Consider the following 18544-nt stretch of genomic DNA (forward strand, 5'->3'; position numbering starts at 1 on the left):
GGGCCAGGGACCGTCTGGGCAAGATGTGGGCCTCAGCGCCCATGGGAAGGGCTGTGCGACAGTCCCTGGGTAGCTCAGTGGCTCACCACAGACACAGAGCTACCAGGGCCGTACTGGTCTCATCCCAAACCCTTGTCTCCCTTCTAGAATCAGCCTTGTCTCCTCTGGTCAATTTTAACTAAATTACACTCAAATAAGTTCCACAGTGTGGACCTTTTTTAGGCATTAGTGACTGGAAGAGTTTTGTTCTATTACTTCACATTTTCCTAAACCCACTTAACACGGATGGAATCTCTTGTAATCCTGTAAGACCAAACACAGAAGAGGAACTGCGCCAAAGCGGTCAGGCCCAGTACTTGTTTAGCACAGACAGAATGGTCATACTTCTTCTGACCTTGTGATAAATCTTCTGTGCTGAATTTGGGAGGTCTTCACACTGAGGAGTGCTCATGCTTCATTCATTAACAGAGGCTGCTTGAGCATCTACTGCCAGCCAGGCCCTGTGCCCCGCATGTCACCTCCCTTGTCAGGCTCTGCCTCCTTCAGTCTCTGTCACAATTCTGTGGGGTTAGCTATAGCATCTTCATATTTAGTACTGAAGGAACTGATGCTGAGAGAGGTGATTTGTCTGGTGTTTCCCAGGAAATAAGTGACATGGTGTGGGATTCAGAGCAAGATATTTTGGCTCAAAATCCTTTGCTCCTTCCATTTTATCAAAGTACTTCTCAAACATAATGTTTTACTCTGCTGATGTGTTAATTTTAAATGTTACATGCATTCTAGTGCGAAAGATTCCTTAGGAAATTGTTAAAACCCAATAACTCCACATAGAGTTTTTGAATTAGGGTCTTAGAAATGTTCAAACCAAGTAAATGTAGGGAAGATGTATTAAGTACCAACTGGTTCTTGCCTGCATGATATCAGCAAAATGAAAGAGAAATAATAATAGATTTTGTTAATAATTCAAGACAGTAAAGAGAGAATGGTGTGGGAAAAAGAAGACGTTTGGCGTTCAAGCTGAGTCTGAATACTGCCTTGTTGCTTAACAGCAGCGTGCCCCTGGGAAGAGGAAGGCAGGTAACCTTTATCAAGTACCTGTCACGTGCTAGGTGCTTTGCATGTCTTAATCTCATTTAATTGTTATAATGAGCTTCCCAGATAAATATAGTATCATACCCACTTTAAGATGAGAAACTAGAAGTTCTGAGAAGATAAGCATTGTGCAGCTGGTGTGTGGCCAGCCAGGATCTGACCCTGGGGTCCACACTGCTCCCTTTCTGGGTATTGTCTGAAGTTATTACGGTGTGGAAATAAGACCACAGAGTCTGTATTAAATTCACTCATGCACATGTGCGTGTGCACACACACACACACACACATGACTTCTGCTATTTATTCGAAAATTCAGGAAAAATACAAAGGGAGCAATTATCAGCTAGAAATTGGGCAACAACCGTGCCTCAGTCCTGAAACATCAGTTTTATGAGTTGGGTTTTATATTTGGTTATAAACCCATACTTTTCCAGGACTGGCTTTGTGATTCACTGGGGAGAGAGGCCTATGTCTTCACAAACAAACTTTAAAAGGGCAATAATAACATATATTTGCAAAGTGATTCAAGTATGTGTTTTAAAGAGAGGGAGATAGTACATGTAACTGAGGTAGGTCAAACATACATTTGAAACCGAACATAGCCTGGGTGCAGTGGCTCATGCCTGTAATCCCAGCCCTTTTGGAGGCCGAAGCAAGAAGATCGCTTAAGGCCAGGAATTTGAGACCAGCCTGGGCAACACAGTGAGACCCCCATCTCTACAAAAATAAAAATTAAAAAAAGAAACCAAGTGCAAATATATGTCATCAGAACAAGAAGAATCATAGTAAACAGCTGTAACTTCTACAACTTAAAGAGACTCATCTCTGCTTTTGAAAAGAAGTAGAGTCACAATATTCATCCAAGAGAAAGAAACCTCTTTATTAAAATGGATGTGGTGAGAATTACATGAGATGACATAGGTGAGGTGCCCTGTCCAGCACCTGCTCTGTGGGGAATTCTTGCTAAATGGTAGCACCAGTGAATTCTGTTGTCATTGCTATTATTTGAGTCTAAGTTGTGAGGGTGTGAAGGACATGGCAGGCTCCAGGTTGTTTGTGTTCTCTTGTGTGGGTGACCTTAAGGACAGAAGTGAGGCACCAGGAGGAGGTGTCTCGGCCTCTGGCTGGTTCCTCTGTGTTCCTAAGTCCAGGGCATTCATCTTGTGACCAGGAGCTGCTGTTGCCTTTAGCCAGGCTCCCACCAAGCCCCTGTCTGTGGCTGATTGTCAGGTCCTAAGGTCTGTTTGACAGGCGTGGCCCTTCAGACGTGACTGCTAGTGGCCAGTTTTGTCCTGGGCTGTTCCTACTGCTCCCCTCCCTGCTCTCCTAGGAGACCCCTGATCTGTATCTATTGTAGCTGCTGGGCAGCTGCCTCTCACTAAAGATCTTATGAAAACTCTAGGTCAATGGCAAAAAACCAATGTTATTAGTAATACTGAGGCCTGGTAGGAATTAAAAGGCAGTCTTGTAACTTATAGGTGGAGAATTTCAGAATTTGCAACCTTTGCTACCTTTCCTCTAGTCTGTTTCAGGGCTCCACAAGGCACACACTGAGAATGCTGGGCATTTGGATGATGGCTTCTCCTTGGTCCTTTTTTGTAGCACCAAGTAATCCCATTAGATTGCTCCTATTGTGTCCAGCTTTTATCCCTTGGCTAAGAGCCAGCCTTACTGATAAATAAAATCTAGATAATTCAGTTCTTCAAATTATAATGCTAAACCTAGTGGAAAAAAAGAGACAAGGCCTCTGAACAAGATATTAAAGGGGACCTTTCCTTCTGCATGCTTTTGGTTATATGAGGGATTGGAGGGGCCAACTTCAGGACAGAATCTGAGGTCATACCAGAAGCTTCTCTGATTGCAGTAGGCTTGGACTGAGACTTTGCCTCACACCAGGAATGGATGATGTCATGTGGCCAGTGAAATCTGAGATTTTTTAATGGAGCCCTGGCATCACAACTATGTGGGGATGAGTTCTGCTGGTTAAAACATTTCTGTGCCCCCTCAGACAATTTGCATTGTAAGAAGGACTTCTGGTCTTAGAGAAGCTGGCAGAGTGGCAGTGGATTTCTTTTGGCACAGAAATCCTGGGAAACATGGCCAGAGTTGTTGAGAAAAGTAATCCAGTTATCCTCATTTCTGGTAGTCCCAGGCTGCACTGTCACCTACAAACCCAGCCCTTCTCTTCCACCTAGTAAAGATGGGAACAGCCAAGGTGTCAGCCCTTTCCCACCTTCATGCATGCTCATGTTCCCATTTAATGCCCCTGGTGTATTTTGCATCCCAACTAGAATCACTGTTGAAATTCATTCTGTGCTTCCTAGGAACTAGCCAGCTGTGGATGGAGTAAGAAGGAGAAACACAGTCTTGCCCCTAACGTTGTGGCCTTTACCCGGAGGTTTAACCAGGTAAGCAACACCCCTTGCATGTGCCTATCCAGAGAGCAATCTGCTGCTGTCCCCTGTAGGCTGCGAGCCCCCACCCAAAGCTGTCTCCCAGGCTCCCAGCTGGCCCCAGATCCAGCTTCTCATATGAGTCCCCCACCTTTATCCAGTTTTGTGCCATTATAGTCCATTTTCACAGAGCAGGTGGAACTGAACATACCTTTCCTATGCTTAAATCACTTCAGTGACTTCCAGTTTCACTTAAGCTAAGGTTCAAGTACCTTAATATGCTTTGCAAGGTTCAGCATGGTGGATCTCGCTTCTGTCCACTCCTCCAGCCTCATCTCTTTTCCCTCCTCCTGGCCTTCCTTCTCTTACTGATATACCTTATCTCTCTCCTGTCAGGCCCCATGTGTGTGGTCTTCACAGCCCAGAATCCTTCCTCCCTGTTCAACTTCCAGTCAGATCTCAGCCTAAATGTCATTTCTTTGGGGAGTCTTCCCTGAATCCCCAGCCTGTGTGAGGTCACATATCCCCACATTGTACCCTGTGCTCCCTGTGATCCTTTACTAATTTGTCCTCATGTTGTATAACTCTGTAGTCTCCACCTTCCTTGCCGGCCTGGGAGCCCCATAAGCATGTCTATCTTGTTCATTACTGTGTCCCCCACCACCTTGCCCAATGTCAGGCATATCATAGACCCTCATTAACAATATATGGAACGAATAGATGAGGTGCTCAGGAAGTACCTTTTAAATTGAATTTTCTTGAATTCCTGATGGCCTGATCCCTGGCCTTGCACTACTTTAAACTGACTTGGTCCAACAAGAACCTGTGCTCCAGGTATGAAGATCTGGAATGATGATTGGAGACTTGGATCAACTGAGGGAGGTAGGGTGTCTTATTTCTCAGCCAGACCTGCGTGATCTTCAGGAGAAAGCATGCAAACCCCCAAATTGTACTGTTGTACTGTTGACAGATTTCCTTCATTCTTATTTTTCTGGTTTCAAATGAGGCCAGTAGCCTAGAGGTTGCGTAGTATGTATGACTGGCCCTCTGGGTGATGGGGCCTGGATTCCCTTTGGGCCCTCTCTCCAGCTGGGCCTTCTCTCTCGGAAATGCTTGGTCTTGTGCATCACTGTTGCTCAACCCTCTCCAGGCTTCTCCAGCCTTGACCTTCCACCCCAAGTCCAGCGGGATCCTCAGAAAGGCACCAGCTTGTAGTTTGAAGATTGAGGCTCGAATTAGCATTATTATTATTTGATGAGATATAGTAGGAACCAAGAAAGACCTAGGTGCATCTGGAGTAGGGGCTGCACACTGTTTGTTTTGAAAAGAGAAGTTCCAAAGTCTTTTGCTTCTTTTTTCTTTGTTTTGAAAAATCGTCTCTTTTCAACTGAGCTTAGTCTTTAATTAAAAAAAAAAAGTGTGAGAATTTTGTCAGGGAATTCATAGTTTCCTTAACAAAACTATTTGACTGGGAGCCAACTCAGTCCCCACCTCTGACCAGCCACAGAGCTCCCAGAGGAGGGTCTGCTGGGGCTCTGATGTAATCTGCTTTGCATGTGGATGCCAGGTCAACTTGGCAAAGGCGATGTGGCTTATTCTGTGAACAATTGTGTTGTGTCCAGCTCAGACCAAGTGATGAAATGAGCCAGAAGCAAAGTCACATTTTTTTTCAAACAGTGCTCTGGGAAATGGTCTTCCTGCTGGCCCATCAGCCAGTCGGAGAGCCAGCAGCTTCTGGACATAGCCCTGGTAGCTCTGGTTTGAAAATTGGCCAGAGGCCAGGCCTGGTCAGCCATTGGAGCTGCCTTCTTTGGGATGAACTCGTTGGCGTCCCTTCCTGGCAGAATTTTATGTGTGAGAACAAGACTCATCAGACTCCAAATAAAAGAAAGCAGGTCACTTACCTGTCTGAGCCTCAGCTTTCTTTTCTGTAACTGAGAATAATAGTAGTGCTCTCCTTGCACTGTTGTTATGAAGAACAAATGGAATATGAAGAGCTTTAGCACAATGTCTGGCATGTAGTAAGCATCCAAATGTTTTGGGAGAAGAAAAGAGAAATGTGAAGATCAGCTGATTGGGAGGAGGTTGCCAGAGGATTTGAGGCTTCTTGTGGCCAAACAGAAACCCAGTGGCTAGTGCTTGCCTGCTTCTCCGTGGGATCCGAGTCCCTTGGGATTTGCTCATAGAGTGGCTGAGATGGAAGAGTTTGGCCAAGTTCACTAAAGGTCTTTTATGAGCCAGCCTATGTTACAACCCCAAGGAATACCCTGTGTAGCACAGAAGTTCTCAATCTTTTTTGGGTCTTGGGTTCTTTTGAGAATCTGACAGTATCACATATGAATGTTCCTCCAGAAAACTGCAGAGATATACAAATTTGCATTTAATTTTAGGGTGTTCACTGCCTTCCGGAAGTTTATGTGTGGACATTTATGGGTCTGCGGACAATAGACTGAGAAGCTGTGTCTCAGGGAATCCCACAGGCCTGGGTGTGAGTCTTATCGCAACAACTTATTAGCTGTATGATCTTGGGTTGGCTTTTGGCCTCTCTCAGCCTGGTAGTCCTCATTTATAAAACAGGAAGAATCATTTTAAGTGGTTTTTGAAGACTAAACAAGAATCATGAATATAAACGGGTCACCCCAGTGCTTGACACTTAGTAAACATTCCATGTAAGCTTAAACAAAGGGGCAGAGTAGTAGGAGCTATGAGCTGAAAGGAAGGTTAAGACCAGACCAACAGGCTTGGGCATATGTGCAAGGTTGGCCTTGTATCACAAAGATGCTGAAAATTTTGGAAAAGGTGAAGAGGGAATTGGGAGAAACGTGGTTCTAGTCTAGGCCGTGCTGCTAACCTGCTTTAAGGCCCCTCCTCTCTTTGGGTCTCAGGACCTTTTTCCATTCATGGAGATTGGACAGGGCCAAATGTTTCCAACTTGTCTCATGGACACATTTTATAGTTGCTAATGACTGAAACCCCAGCTCAAACTCAGTTAAGCACAAAAGAGAGCTTCATGGTTTATGTATAATAACTAAATCTAGGGAGATACTGACTTCAAATATTGCTGAATCTAGGCAGTGGGGACAGTACCATCTGAACTTGGTCTTGCTCTCTCCACCTCCAGGTTCTGCTTTCCTCTGAGCTGGTTCTACCTCAGGTAGCCTCCCCCTGTGGTTGCAGGATGGCTAGCAACAATTCCAGGCTTGTATCATATTCCGAGGGCAACCTCAGGAGAAAAGACCTGCTGCTTTTTCAGTAGCTCTATCTGATGCCCTGGAATTGAGACTCAGTGGCTCAGATTGCCCTGGCTTGTGGCCTATCTTGTTTGTTATGATCTAATCACTGTGACCAGGAAGACATGAAGCTCTGATTGGCCAGGTCTTGGAAACAGGCCTTCCTATGGAGGAGAGGCGGTAGGCCTAGGCCACATGGACTGAGAATGGAGAAGGGGTATTTCCTCAAGGAAAATCAGGGTGTTCTGGAAGGAAGAAGCTATGGATGAGGGCCAGAAAGGAAGACAGATAGTTATCATAGACCTTCTTTTCTCTTGTACTCTTCCAGTCTGCTCTGAACTTTCTCCCCAATCCATTCTGTTGATACCTTGTCACTCTCAAGTCCTGTCTGCCCTCTGAACTCCCATGCTCATGAGCCTAGTGACTGAATGTTTCTGCTTCCTCTTGGCTTTAATTGAAACTATTTTAAAAACATTTATTGAGCATTAATGCTGAACTTATTGAATCAGATACTATGCTAAGCATTTTACCCGTGCTATCTAATTCAATTTTCACGTGCCTAATGAGATAGATATTTTACACTCATTTCATGGATAAAGAAACTGAGGCTCTGCAAAGTGAAACAACTTGCTCAAATTTACATAGCTGGTGAATTCCTCTGCTTAAGGGGCCTTCTGTTTTTTTCTGAACACTTTTCTAATAGAAACTTCTGCTTTTCCAAACCTAATTTATCACAGGGCTGGGAGACAATGTTAGCATTCTCCTTTCTTCCACATGCTATCTCTAAACAGTTACTCTTTCCTCATTGTGTAATACTCCCTTTTATATGACGCTCATCACTCTAGTTCTATTCATTTATGTATTCAGTAGTCATTGACTGAATATGTACTAGGCTCTGTGCTGGTTCAGGGGGTCAACAATAAACAAATTGTCGCCTTTGCCATTGTCAGCTCATAGTCGAGTGTAGGAGGCAAACATGATGGAGGCGATTCCAGTCCAGGGGAATCTGTGCTAGGACGGGGAAACCAGAGGAAAGGCATGTGCAGGAGCAAGGGAGGCCAGAGTGGGGTCTGTTCCTTCAATCTGAGTGAGGGATTGGAGCTGTAAACTGGCTGGGCACAAGAAAATATTAGAAGACAAAATGACAGCCCTTGGTGATTGATTGGTTATGGAGGGAAATGACAGAGAAGAGTAAAAGAGGGTCCTCTTTTGGTATTTGGGCAGTCCCATCCTTGAGACAGTGAACACAAAGGAGGAGCAGTTTTGAGAGTTGGAGATGAGTTAGGTTTGGACATGTGGGATGAAGTATGCAGGAGGTCATTGGATATTTGAGTCCGGAAGTTGGGGAAAGGTCCAGCCTGGAGATGCAAATATTGGAGTCACCTGCATTTGAAGGCCTGGGGTCAGTGAAATCATCCAAGGAGAAACAGAGGCCCAAGTGAGTACCTGAGGATTGCTGACATTTAAGGGATGGGCAGAGGAGAGGAGGCCACACAGGAGGCAGAGAGAGAGCAACCTGGGAGCAGAACACTTGGTGATATGGAAAGGGCAGTATCTGGAAATCAGTGTTTCAGAAATGAGGGAATGCTACAGAATGAGTCTTCTAAGACAGGGCTAAAAAAGAGTCCTTTGATTTTAGCAGCAAGGACAGTTTTGCAGGGATGTAGCAGGTTGAGTGGTAGATGTGAGGCAATGAAGAGAGCAGGTGTAAGTGATTCTTACAACACTGGCTCCAAGGGGAGCTGAGAAGGGAGTGGCTGGAGAGTGGAGGAGTCAAAAAAGTCCTGGGAGGTGGTTGCATGCTTTTTTCTTCTTTGAAGTGAGCAGATCCTTAAGGATGTGAAGGAGCCAGTGGACCTGGAAAAGTTAAAGATGAGGAGAGGGAGGAAGTACTTAATGAGGTAAAGTCTCAGAAAAGGTGGAAGAAGCCAAGACCTGGGTGCCTCTTCAGTGTAAGAGATGAGTCAGCAGAAAGGAAAGGGGCAGATGTAGACCCATTTGTAGGTGCAATACAAGGAGAGTGATGGCTTTTCTTCGTCAGTGAAATGGGAGGGAAAGGGGGAAGGAGTGGGGCGAGAAGATTGATGGGTTTGGGGAAAGCTTGAAAAAAGCTGCTACACAGGAAAGGAGAGAGAGCTGACTCTGGAAATACAGCAAGACTCTTGGGCAGTGATGGTGGCCCAGATGAAATAGAGATTGTGATTTTCTAAGTGGCCCCAGTGCATGTAGGTAGTAGGTGGTTTTCTCTAGTTGCACTTCTCAGCCTAGGAGTAGGTGCATGGAAGAGCAAATGGTTAGACCCATCCCCTTAGGGGTTGGCAAAGCAGATTTTTTGGAAGGGTCAAGATGCAAGGGAAGTTAAACTAGTGTCAAAGAAAAGGCTGAAGTAGGCCGGGCATGGTGGCTCAAGCCTGGAATCCCAGCACTTTGGGAGGCCAAGGCAGGTGGATCATCTGAGGTCAGGAGTTCAAGACCAGCCTGGCCTACATGGCAAAATCCCATCTCTACTAAAAATACAAAAATTAGCTGGGCATGGTGGTGCACACCTGCAGTCCAAGCTACTTGGGAGGCTGAGGCAGGAGAATCACTTGCACTCGAGGGGGCGGAGGTTGCAGTGAGCCGAGATCTCACCACTGCACTCCAGCCTGGGCGACAGAGTGAAACGCTGTCTCAGAAGAAAAGAAAAGGCTGAAGTGACAAATGATAGGGGATTGGTCTGCTTAAGAGGAAAAGGATGCCAAGGAAAAGGGCTGCCAGGGAATCCAGGACATGGTGAGAGGAAAGGTCTGACACAGTGGGGGTCAAGGAGAGAGTAAGGACTAGAATGTTTAAAGATTGTAGCCCCAGATGGAACCGAAATTTTCTGACATAGAGCAGGTCTGGGAAATCAAGAAGAAAGAGGTGGCTGAGGTGGTAGGGAGGTCTAGTTGCTAAAGTTGAAGTGCTCAAGGGATCTGAGGCCAGGGTCATTTGCAGTGATGTTGAAGTTGCCCAAGGAAGAAGGCAGGATTGGTGTGGAGGGGAAGATAGCAATCCAGATCCTGATCTGTTTACCATCTCTACCGTGGAATCATAAACATGTAGCCTTTTCACACGGACTTTTTTCACTTAGCGATATGTAGTTAACATTCATCCATGTCTTTATATTACTTTATATGTCTTGACAGCTCTTTTGTATGTGTATATTCCATTGTATGGATTTACCATCCATGGTTTGTTCATCCATTCACTTACTGAAGGACATCTCAGTTACTTAGTTACTTCCAGTTTTCACAACTATGAATAAAGCTGCTACAAACATTTGTGTGTGTGTGTGTGTGTGTGTGTGTGTGTGTGTATGTACTAAAGTTTTCTTTCTTTCTTTCTTTTTTTTTATCCCCGAGGTGGAGTCTTGCTCTGTTGCCCAGGCTGGAGTGCAGTGGCGTGATCTCAGATCACTGCAACCTCCGCCTCCTGGATTTAAGCGATTCTCCTACCTCAGCTTCTGGAATAGCTAGGATTACAGGTGCATGCCACCACACCCAGCTAATTTTTGTATTTTTAGTAGAGACGGGGTTTCACCATGTTCGCCAGGTTGGTCTCGAACTCCTGACCTCGTGATCTGCCTACCTCGGCCTCCTGAAGTGCTGGGATTCCAGGCCTGAGCCACCGCACTCGGCTAGATTTTCAGATCAGCTGGGTATATACCTAGGAACACAAGCTAGATTGTGTTTGTCCCATTTTGTATTCTCACCAGCAATGAATGAGTGTGTGGCTTCAATCCTTGCCAGCAACTGATATTGTCAGCTATTTTGTGTTTTAGGCATTCTAGTATGTGTGTAGTAATCTTGCTTTTCTCAGCTTTATCCAGACCACTCTTGGACAGTTACGTCTGGTTCTGGGTGCCTCACGTGAGGGGTGAGGGTGGGAATTATCACACAGGAGTGGCATGTAAGTATTACAGTGACTAGAAGAGTAGGGGAAGGAAAACATGTTATACAGGGATAGGTGGAGGATCTGTGAGTGAGAAGACTCAGGGAGAAGGTCATCAAGGTTTTCAAGCAATTGAGGAGTTCTTAATGGGGAAGCTGGATTCAACATAATCTATGGGGCCTGGTCAATAAGTGCAGGGCCCAAGGGATGGAAACGGGGAGGCAGTTGGCCTCCTCCTAATATAAGGAAGTTTCTTAACCATGAAGGCTGAGGCAGAGACCAGACAAGGGCTTTATTACTGTAGAACACCATGCAGCTGTCAGGGCAGGGAGTAGATGGGACCTCTAAGATGCTTTCAAACTCTTGGTTTCTAAGAAAACTGTGAATGGACTTAGGAGAAATTTGTGGCAAAAGTAGATTTTTCATAAGAAATAGTAGTATTTTTAAACCTGGATTTTTCTTGTTGTTTTTCTTTGTTTTATTCTTTGATTGTTTTTTTCATGGTTGGTTAACTGAATAAAGTTGTGTCCATAACTATTCTGTTTTTTTATAATTCCGCCGTGGCATGTCCCAGATATCATAGTCCTCAGTAGCTAAATGCCAGTGCTAGCTATACCACTATAACAATAATAGTGTTAATAATAGGTTATGTGTATTAAAAGTTTATTAGCACCATGACCCACTGGGGTTATGCTCCGGGTGTGTTTGGCTCCTTCAGCAATTGGAAATCAATTAATGTAATCCACTGTACAATAGGCTAGGGTAGAAAAATCATATTATTATATCATTTGACCTGAAAAAGCATCTCACAAAGTCCAGTACTCATTCATAATTAAAAAAAAAATCTCAGCCAATTAGGAATAGAACAGAACTTCTTCAACTTGATAAAGAACATCTACAAAAGTCCTTCAGCCAACATCATACATAATGGTAAGACACTGAATACTTTCCCCCTAAGACTGGGAACAAGGCAAGGATGTGCTCTCTTATCCGTTCTGTACAACATCTTACTGCAAGTCCTGGCTAGTACAGTAAGACAAGAAAATAAATAAATAAAATGTATACAGATTGGAAAGGAAGAAGTAAAACAACCTTTATACATAGGTGACGTGATTATCTAGATAGAAAATTCCAAAGAAATCTCCAAAAATACTCCTGGAACTAAGAAGTGAGTAAGCAGAGTTGCAGGACACAGGCCAGTATACAAGAGTCAATTGATTTCCTCTAGACCAGCAATGAGGAACTGCAATTTGAAGTTAACAAACAATACCATTTACAATATCACCAAGAAAACCATAAAACTTAGATATACCTCTAACAAAATATGTACAGGTTCTGTTAATATGGAAACCTCAAAAACTGATAAAAGAAATCAAAGTGGAGCTAAATAAATAGAGAAATACTCCATCTTCATGGAATGGAAGACTCAATACTGTTAAGATGTCAGTTCTTCCCAACTTGATCAATAGATCCAGTGCAATCCCAATCAAAATCCTAGAAAGCTGTTTTACAAATATCAACACAATACTGAAAAAGAATAAAATTGGAAGACTCACTCTACCTGATTTCAGCACTTACTGTAAAGCTACAGTTATCAAGACAGCATGGTATTGGCGAAAGAATTGGCCCCATAGGTCGATGGAGCTGATAAATAGACCTACACAAATATGGTCAGCTGATCTTTGATAAAGGTACAAGGGCATTCAGCGGAGAAAGGACAAGTGGTGCTGGAAGAATTTAAATATTTGTGTGTATATGCAAAAAAAAAAAAAAATGAACCTAGACACAGACCTTAGACCTTTCCTAAAAATTAATTGAAAATGGATCATAGGCCTAAAGGTAAAAGACAAAACTATAAAACTTTTAGGAGAAAACGTAGAAGAAAACCTGTATGACCTTGGATTTGTTAATGAGTTATCAGATAAAACACCAAAAGCAGAATTCATGAAAGAAAAAATAAGTTGGAACTTTATGAAAATTAAATTTTTTTCACTCTGCAAAACACATGGTAAAGAGAATTAAAAGACTTACCACAGATTGGGAGAAAATATTTGCAAAACACATATATGATAAAGGAGTTGTATCCAAAATTTACTCTTGAAACTCAACAATAAGAAAATAGCCCAATTAAAAAATGGGCAAAAGATCTGAAGAAAGCTCACCAAAGAAGATATGCAGATGGCAAATAAACATATGACAAGATGCTCAACATTATTTGTCATTAGGGAAACACAAAACACTACATACCTATTAGAATGTCTACATAAAACAAACAAAAAACCCTGATAACACCAATTGCCGTCAAAGATCTGAAGCAACACAAACTCTTATTCATTGCTGGTGGGAATGTGAAATGAGACACTCAATCCAGCAATTGCAATCCTAGGTATTTACCTAGCTGATCTGAAAACTTATATCCACACACAAAAAACAGCACACAAATGTTTATAGCAGCTTTATTCATAGTTGTTGAAAATCAGAAGTAACCAAGATATCATCCTTCATTAGGTAAGGTAAATGGATAATAAACCATGGTAAATCCATACAGTGGAATAGCATTCTTCCAAAAAAGGGAGAATGAGCTATCAAGTCATATAAAGACATGGATGAATCTTTTTTTTTTTCTTTTTTTGAGACAGAGTTTCACTCTTGTTGCCCAGGCTGGAGTGCAGTGGCGTGATCTCAGCTCACTGCATCCTCCGCCTCCTGGGTTCAAGCAATTCTCCTGCCCCAGCCTCCTGAGTAGCTGGGATTACAGGCATACGCCACCATACCTGGCTAATTTTGTATTTTTAGTAGGGATGGGGTTTCTCCATGTTGCTCAGGCTGGTCTGGAACTCCTGACCTCAGGTGATCTGCCCTCCTCGGCCTCCCAAAGTGTTGGGATTACAGGCATGAGTCACAGTGCCCGGCCCGAATCTTTTTTTTAAAAAAATAATTTCATGTTTTATTTTAAATTCAGGGTACCTGTGCAGGTTTGTTACATGAGTATATTGCATGATGCTGAGGTTTTGGAGTATGAATGATCTTGTCACCCAGGTAGTGAGCATAGTACCCAATAATAGGTAGTTTCTCAGCCTTTGCCACACTCTCTCTCCTTCCTCTAATAGTCCCCAGTGTGTGTTGTTCCCATCTTTATGTTGTGGATGAATCTTAAGTGCATATTGCCAAGTGAAAAAAGCCAGTCTTGAAAGGTTGCATATGGAGGATGCCTTTTCTCTTTTCTTCCTCCTCCTGAATCATTATTGTTGGTTTATTACAAAGCAAAGAAAATGTTCTTGCTAGCATAAATCAAGTTATCAACATGATTATACTTCTACATTTATATTTCCTTTTTTGACATTCTGGAAAAGGTAAAGCTATAGAGATGATAAACAAATCAGTGTTTGTCAGGGCTTTGGAAAGGGGAGAGGGCTGAATAGGTGAAGCCTGGGTTTTTATTTATTTATTTTTTTAAGGCAGTGAAACTATATGATATTGTCATGTTGGATACATGACACAGTGCATTTGTGAACTTTATAGCACCAAGAGGAAACCTTAATATATGCAAATTTTTAAAATTCAACTTGAGGGATCAGTGTAACACTTTGTTACATTTTGTTACGTATAATATTACAAAATGTTATAGCAGAATGTAATAAAAGAATCTATTATAAATGTATGAACAACCTCACTGAGGACAGGGAGAGAAAACTTTGCTGACCTAAGTAAATTTGTAATAGAGTGGAGCCTATAAGGCTAAAGACAAAGGAACTGTATATAAACACCATACTCCATTTGATAAAGTTGTTTCCCAAGGGGGATGGGTAACAATTCTGAAACCATTATCCCTGTGTACTGGAATCAAACAATATAAGAAATAGATGAATATAAGAGAGTATAATGAAATGGATGGCAGATGGTGGGAACCAAGTTTCTCACTGTTGGAGTGGGAAATTACAGATAAGCCAGGTGTGAGGAGGCTAGAACGACCCACGTGGTAATGGATTACGGTTGGAGACATCAGTATGAACTCATGTTTAGCTTAATACAGATATAGATGGTTACATATAGAAATCTTTACAGATATGTGTATAGGCATGGGTTAGTACACACACACACACACACACACACACACACATACACACACACACACACACACACACACACACACACAATTTCTTGGCTCTGCCAGCTGAGAGGACCTAGAAACGATGATACCCCAGTAGCAGCAAGCATACTTCATACCTGTTTTGTGCTAATCTTGGTTTCTAATACTGTTATTTGATAAAAGGAACCAGCGTTCCTTGGAGAAATGACTAATTTTAAGACTAAGGCAAGAAATATAAAAGATGAGCCTGTTGCATATTGTATTGCCAGAAGGTAAGGAAGTGCTCAAACTAACAAACCAAAACAATACAGGGGTTGTGTCAAAGGGATGCAGGAGCCAACTGAAAGAACTCTCAAAGGCCAAAGCTGGAACAATTTGAGCAGCATATAAATAATAGTATTGGATTGTAACCCAAAGTATAAAATAAATATCCACAAATCTATACTGATATAAATAAATGTGGAAGAATCGACAAATCTCTCATGCAGAAAATTTCAAATAATCTATGTAGATTAGATCTCAAGAAGGTAGAATGTAACTTCCCACTTGTTAAATATTGGCTGAGCTTAGTGACTTCCTTGCAGAGTTTGAAGTGGTAGTGTAAATTGTGTAACCAATTCCCTATCAATGGGCTTTTAAAAATTGTAGATAGTGCTTCAATGAAACCTTGTGTATCTGTGTTTCTATATTTCTGTATTTTTGTAAGGTAAATATTCTAGGGAGACTATACCTTAAACATCTTGAAAGATATGTTCAAGTTGTTCTTCAAAATGTTATTGATTTCGATTCCTCCAAACAATGTATAAGAGTACCAATGTCTACATGCTCTTGGTACAATATATGACTCACAACATGTATTTTTATTTGATATACAAAGAGCTTTTATCAATCAATAATAAGAGAAAACCTGCTTTGGTGACATAGTGAGACCCCATCCATACAAAAAAAAAAAAAAAAAAAAAGCCAGGTGTGGTGATGCATGCCTGTAGTTTCAGCTACTTGACAGGCTGAGGTGGGAGGATACTCAAGCCCAGGAGTTTGAGGTTGGAAGGACAGATGTCCCAGTAGAAAGATAGTTCTTCACAAGGACCTGTGCAGGCAGTTCAGAAGGCAAATAATACAAATGACCTATAAATATTTGGAACAAAAAAAGTTAACTGAAAAAAAGCAAAACAAACAAACAAAAAACACCTGAATAGTCATGAAAGAAATGTGAAATTGAAACTGTGAAATACCATTTTTTTCCATCGAATTAGTTAAAAAAAAAAAAACTGATAGTAACTGGTATTGGCCTGTGTATGGCAACATGGATCTGCTTCAACTTGTTGATGGGTAAACAAATAGACCTTTTGGAGGCCACTTTTTTTACATATACTTTTGAAAACAGGTACACACGCTTTTATTCACTCCACTTTACATGAATTTATCTGAGGACCTTAATAAAAAGTGTACAAACATATGTATAAAGATGTTCATCTCAGCATTATTACAACAAAATTAGAAATAACCTATTCAACAGTAGAGGGTTATTTAAGAAAATGATGATACTTCTCTATGATGAAATACTTGGAAGCTGCTAAAAATTGTAGAAGAATATTCACTTATAAAAATCTTGTGATATATGATTAATATACACCAATTTAGTTTTAAGAGACAAACATGTTCTATATAGAGAAAAAAAAGATGGCCGGGCATGGTGGCTCATGCCTGTAATCCCAGCACTTTGGGAGGCCGAGGCAGGTGGATCACCTGAGGTCAGGAGTTCGAGATCAGCCTGGCCAATACGGTGAAACCCCATCTCTACTAAAAATACAAAAATTAGCCAGGTGTGGTGGTGCATGCCTGTAATCCCAGCTACTAAGGAGGCTGAGGCAGGAGAATCGCTTGATCCCAGGTGGCGGAGGTTGCAGTGAGCAGAGATCGTGCCACTGCACTCCAGCCTCGGTGACAGAGCGAGACGCCCTCTCAAAAAAAAAAAAAAAGGAAAAAAAGACTAGAAGGATGCATACCACAGTGTTTATGATGTTGGTCTATATGTGAGACTGAGATTTGTCTTTTTGTACTTATCTCTTACGACTTACTTTTGTACTTATCTCTTATTCCTTGTTTTCTTCATCAAACTTCTGAAGTTAAAAACTTAAGTTTTGTAGTTAGAAAAGAAAATAAAATAAAAAAGTGTTTACAACTATGCTGATTCTACCTTTGTAATGTCTTCCTTATCTCCCTCTTCTTCCCATGTCCTTCAGCATGGCACTGGCTCAGACCTCCTCATCTCTCACTGAGACCATTGCATCAGTTTTCTAATGGGTGTCTCTATCCTTGCAAAGGATCTCATCTATCACCCTGCTCAGAAGCCTCTGAAAGTCCCTGTGTAGCATAGTGTTTTAGCTCCTTCCTCTCACCTTGTTGCACCAGTCCTCCCCTCCTCACCACACACCCAATCTGGTCTTTTTCTCCCTCCCCACCCTCATCGTCACTCACAACCCCCACCCACAGCACTCCTGCAACACCAGTGCTTTCAGCCTATCCAGCCGTCCCTGGTCATGGAACATATGGCCACACTTCAGTCTTCTCTTGTTTAAAGTCTACCCATCTTTCAAGGCCTATCTTCTTCGAGAAGCCTTCCTCTGTCATTACCTCTCTCATACTTTGGTTTACTGTTTGAACTTCTTCCATGGCCACTATTACCAGCTGCCTTCTAATACAGCGATTCCTTAAGGATTCTGCCTCCTCCTTTGGTCACCTCAATTTCAGGAAGGTCTGGGCTCCCAGTGCCTGGAGCCCACACACCGAAGGGGCTTCATGGAACTCTGCTGAATCGAGTTGTTGACTCAGAGTTGCCTCTGCACAACATGGACTGCAGTTCCAGAGTCAATGCTTCCATGTTCCGTAATATGCCATAAACGTGTGATTCTTTGACATGCAGGAATCTACTAAATTGTACATGTAAACTATCACACTTGAGTGTGATAATATGCCATAAAAATGTACACATATTAAAATATAAGGTTTATGGGCATCCCATTTGGTATTTAGAAAAACTTTTTTCTGTAACTGGCTAGTAAATATTTGAGTCTGAGCTTAATTGTGGGCAATTCCTTGGAAAAAAATGATTCTATGGAAACCCAGTCATGTCCTGGAGGCAACCACAGATAATTACACTGAGAAAACATTTCTATAATACTCCTGCTTAATATAAAAAGCACATTGTTGATTCTTGGTTTCTCTTTCTTTGCTTTCTATTTGAAAAGTGATGGTATTTCAATAACGAGAATACATTTTATTGCAGCAGTAAGCTTGTTTTATTAGCTCTGGAATATCCTTAACTATATTTTTCCCTATAAAGTTTAGGGGTTTTAGATGCCTTGCCTTCTTTTTAATTCTCCCTATGCCCCGTGCTTTGCCTGGCTCTCCACCTTTCTTTGCAGTGCTGTCATTGCACTCTTGGGCATCCGTGTTTCACATAGAACTGTTGTTACAGAAGTGAAACATAAACAGGAAGAGCTAGCCACTTCCCAGCATTTCTTGGCATGAGTCTCTTCCGTTGCATTGAGGTGCCATGTGAGTCAGCTCCACTCTGGTAGATGACTTTCCTGTTCCACCATCAGACACAGGGGTTCAGGCTGTTGCAGTATGTGAGAGGTCAAGCATGAATGGGCTTCTGAACCAAAGCTACCATCATACCCTTTTTGGTGCATGCTGTCTCCGGGAAAACATGCCCTGTAACATGCATTGCTTTATGGAACTTTGAAAGAGATACTTCCATATCATTTACATTATGGGATGGGCCTCTCCCAAAAAATTAAATTTGTTAAAATTGTGCAAAT

The 18544-nt window shown here is 42.2% G+C and overlaps 1 protein-coding gene across 55 annotated transcripts in view; it reads left to right on the plus strand.

Annotated features, from left to right (window-relative positions):
* The window catches only part of RALGPS1 (Ral GEF with PH domain and SH3 binding motif 1), a 308385-nt gene that overhangs the window by 116233 nt on the left and 173608 nt on the right, over positions 1–18544 (plus strand). For all 55 annotated transcript variants that reach the window (XM_011519233.2, XM_047424120.1, NM_001322321.2 and 52 more), the window contains one exon: positions 3417–3500. In XM_011519233.2, coding sequence (XP_011517535.1) covers positions 3417–3500 — 84 coding nt within the window. The remainder of the gene's footprint in view (positions 1–3416; positions 3501–18544) is intronic.

Source organism: Homo sapiens, chromosome 9 (genome assembly GCF_000001405.40).
Source record: "Homo sapiens chromosome 9, GRCh38.p14 Primary Assembly".
Lineage (NCBI taxonomy): Eukaryota > Metazoa > Chordata > Mammalia > Primates > Hominidae > Homo > Homo sapiens.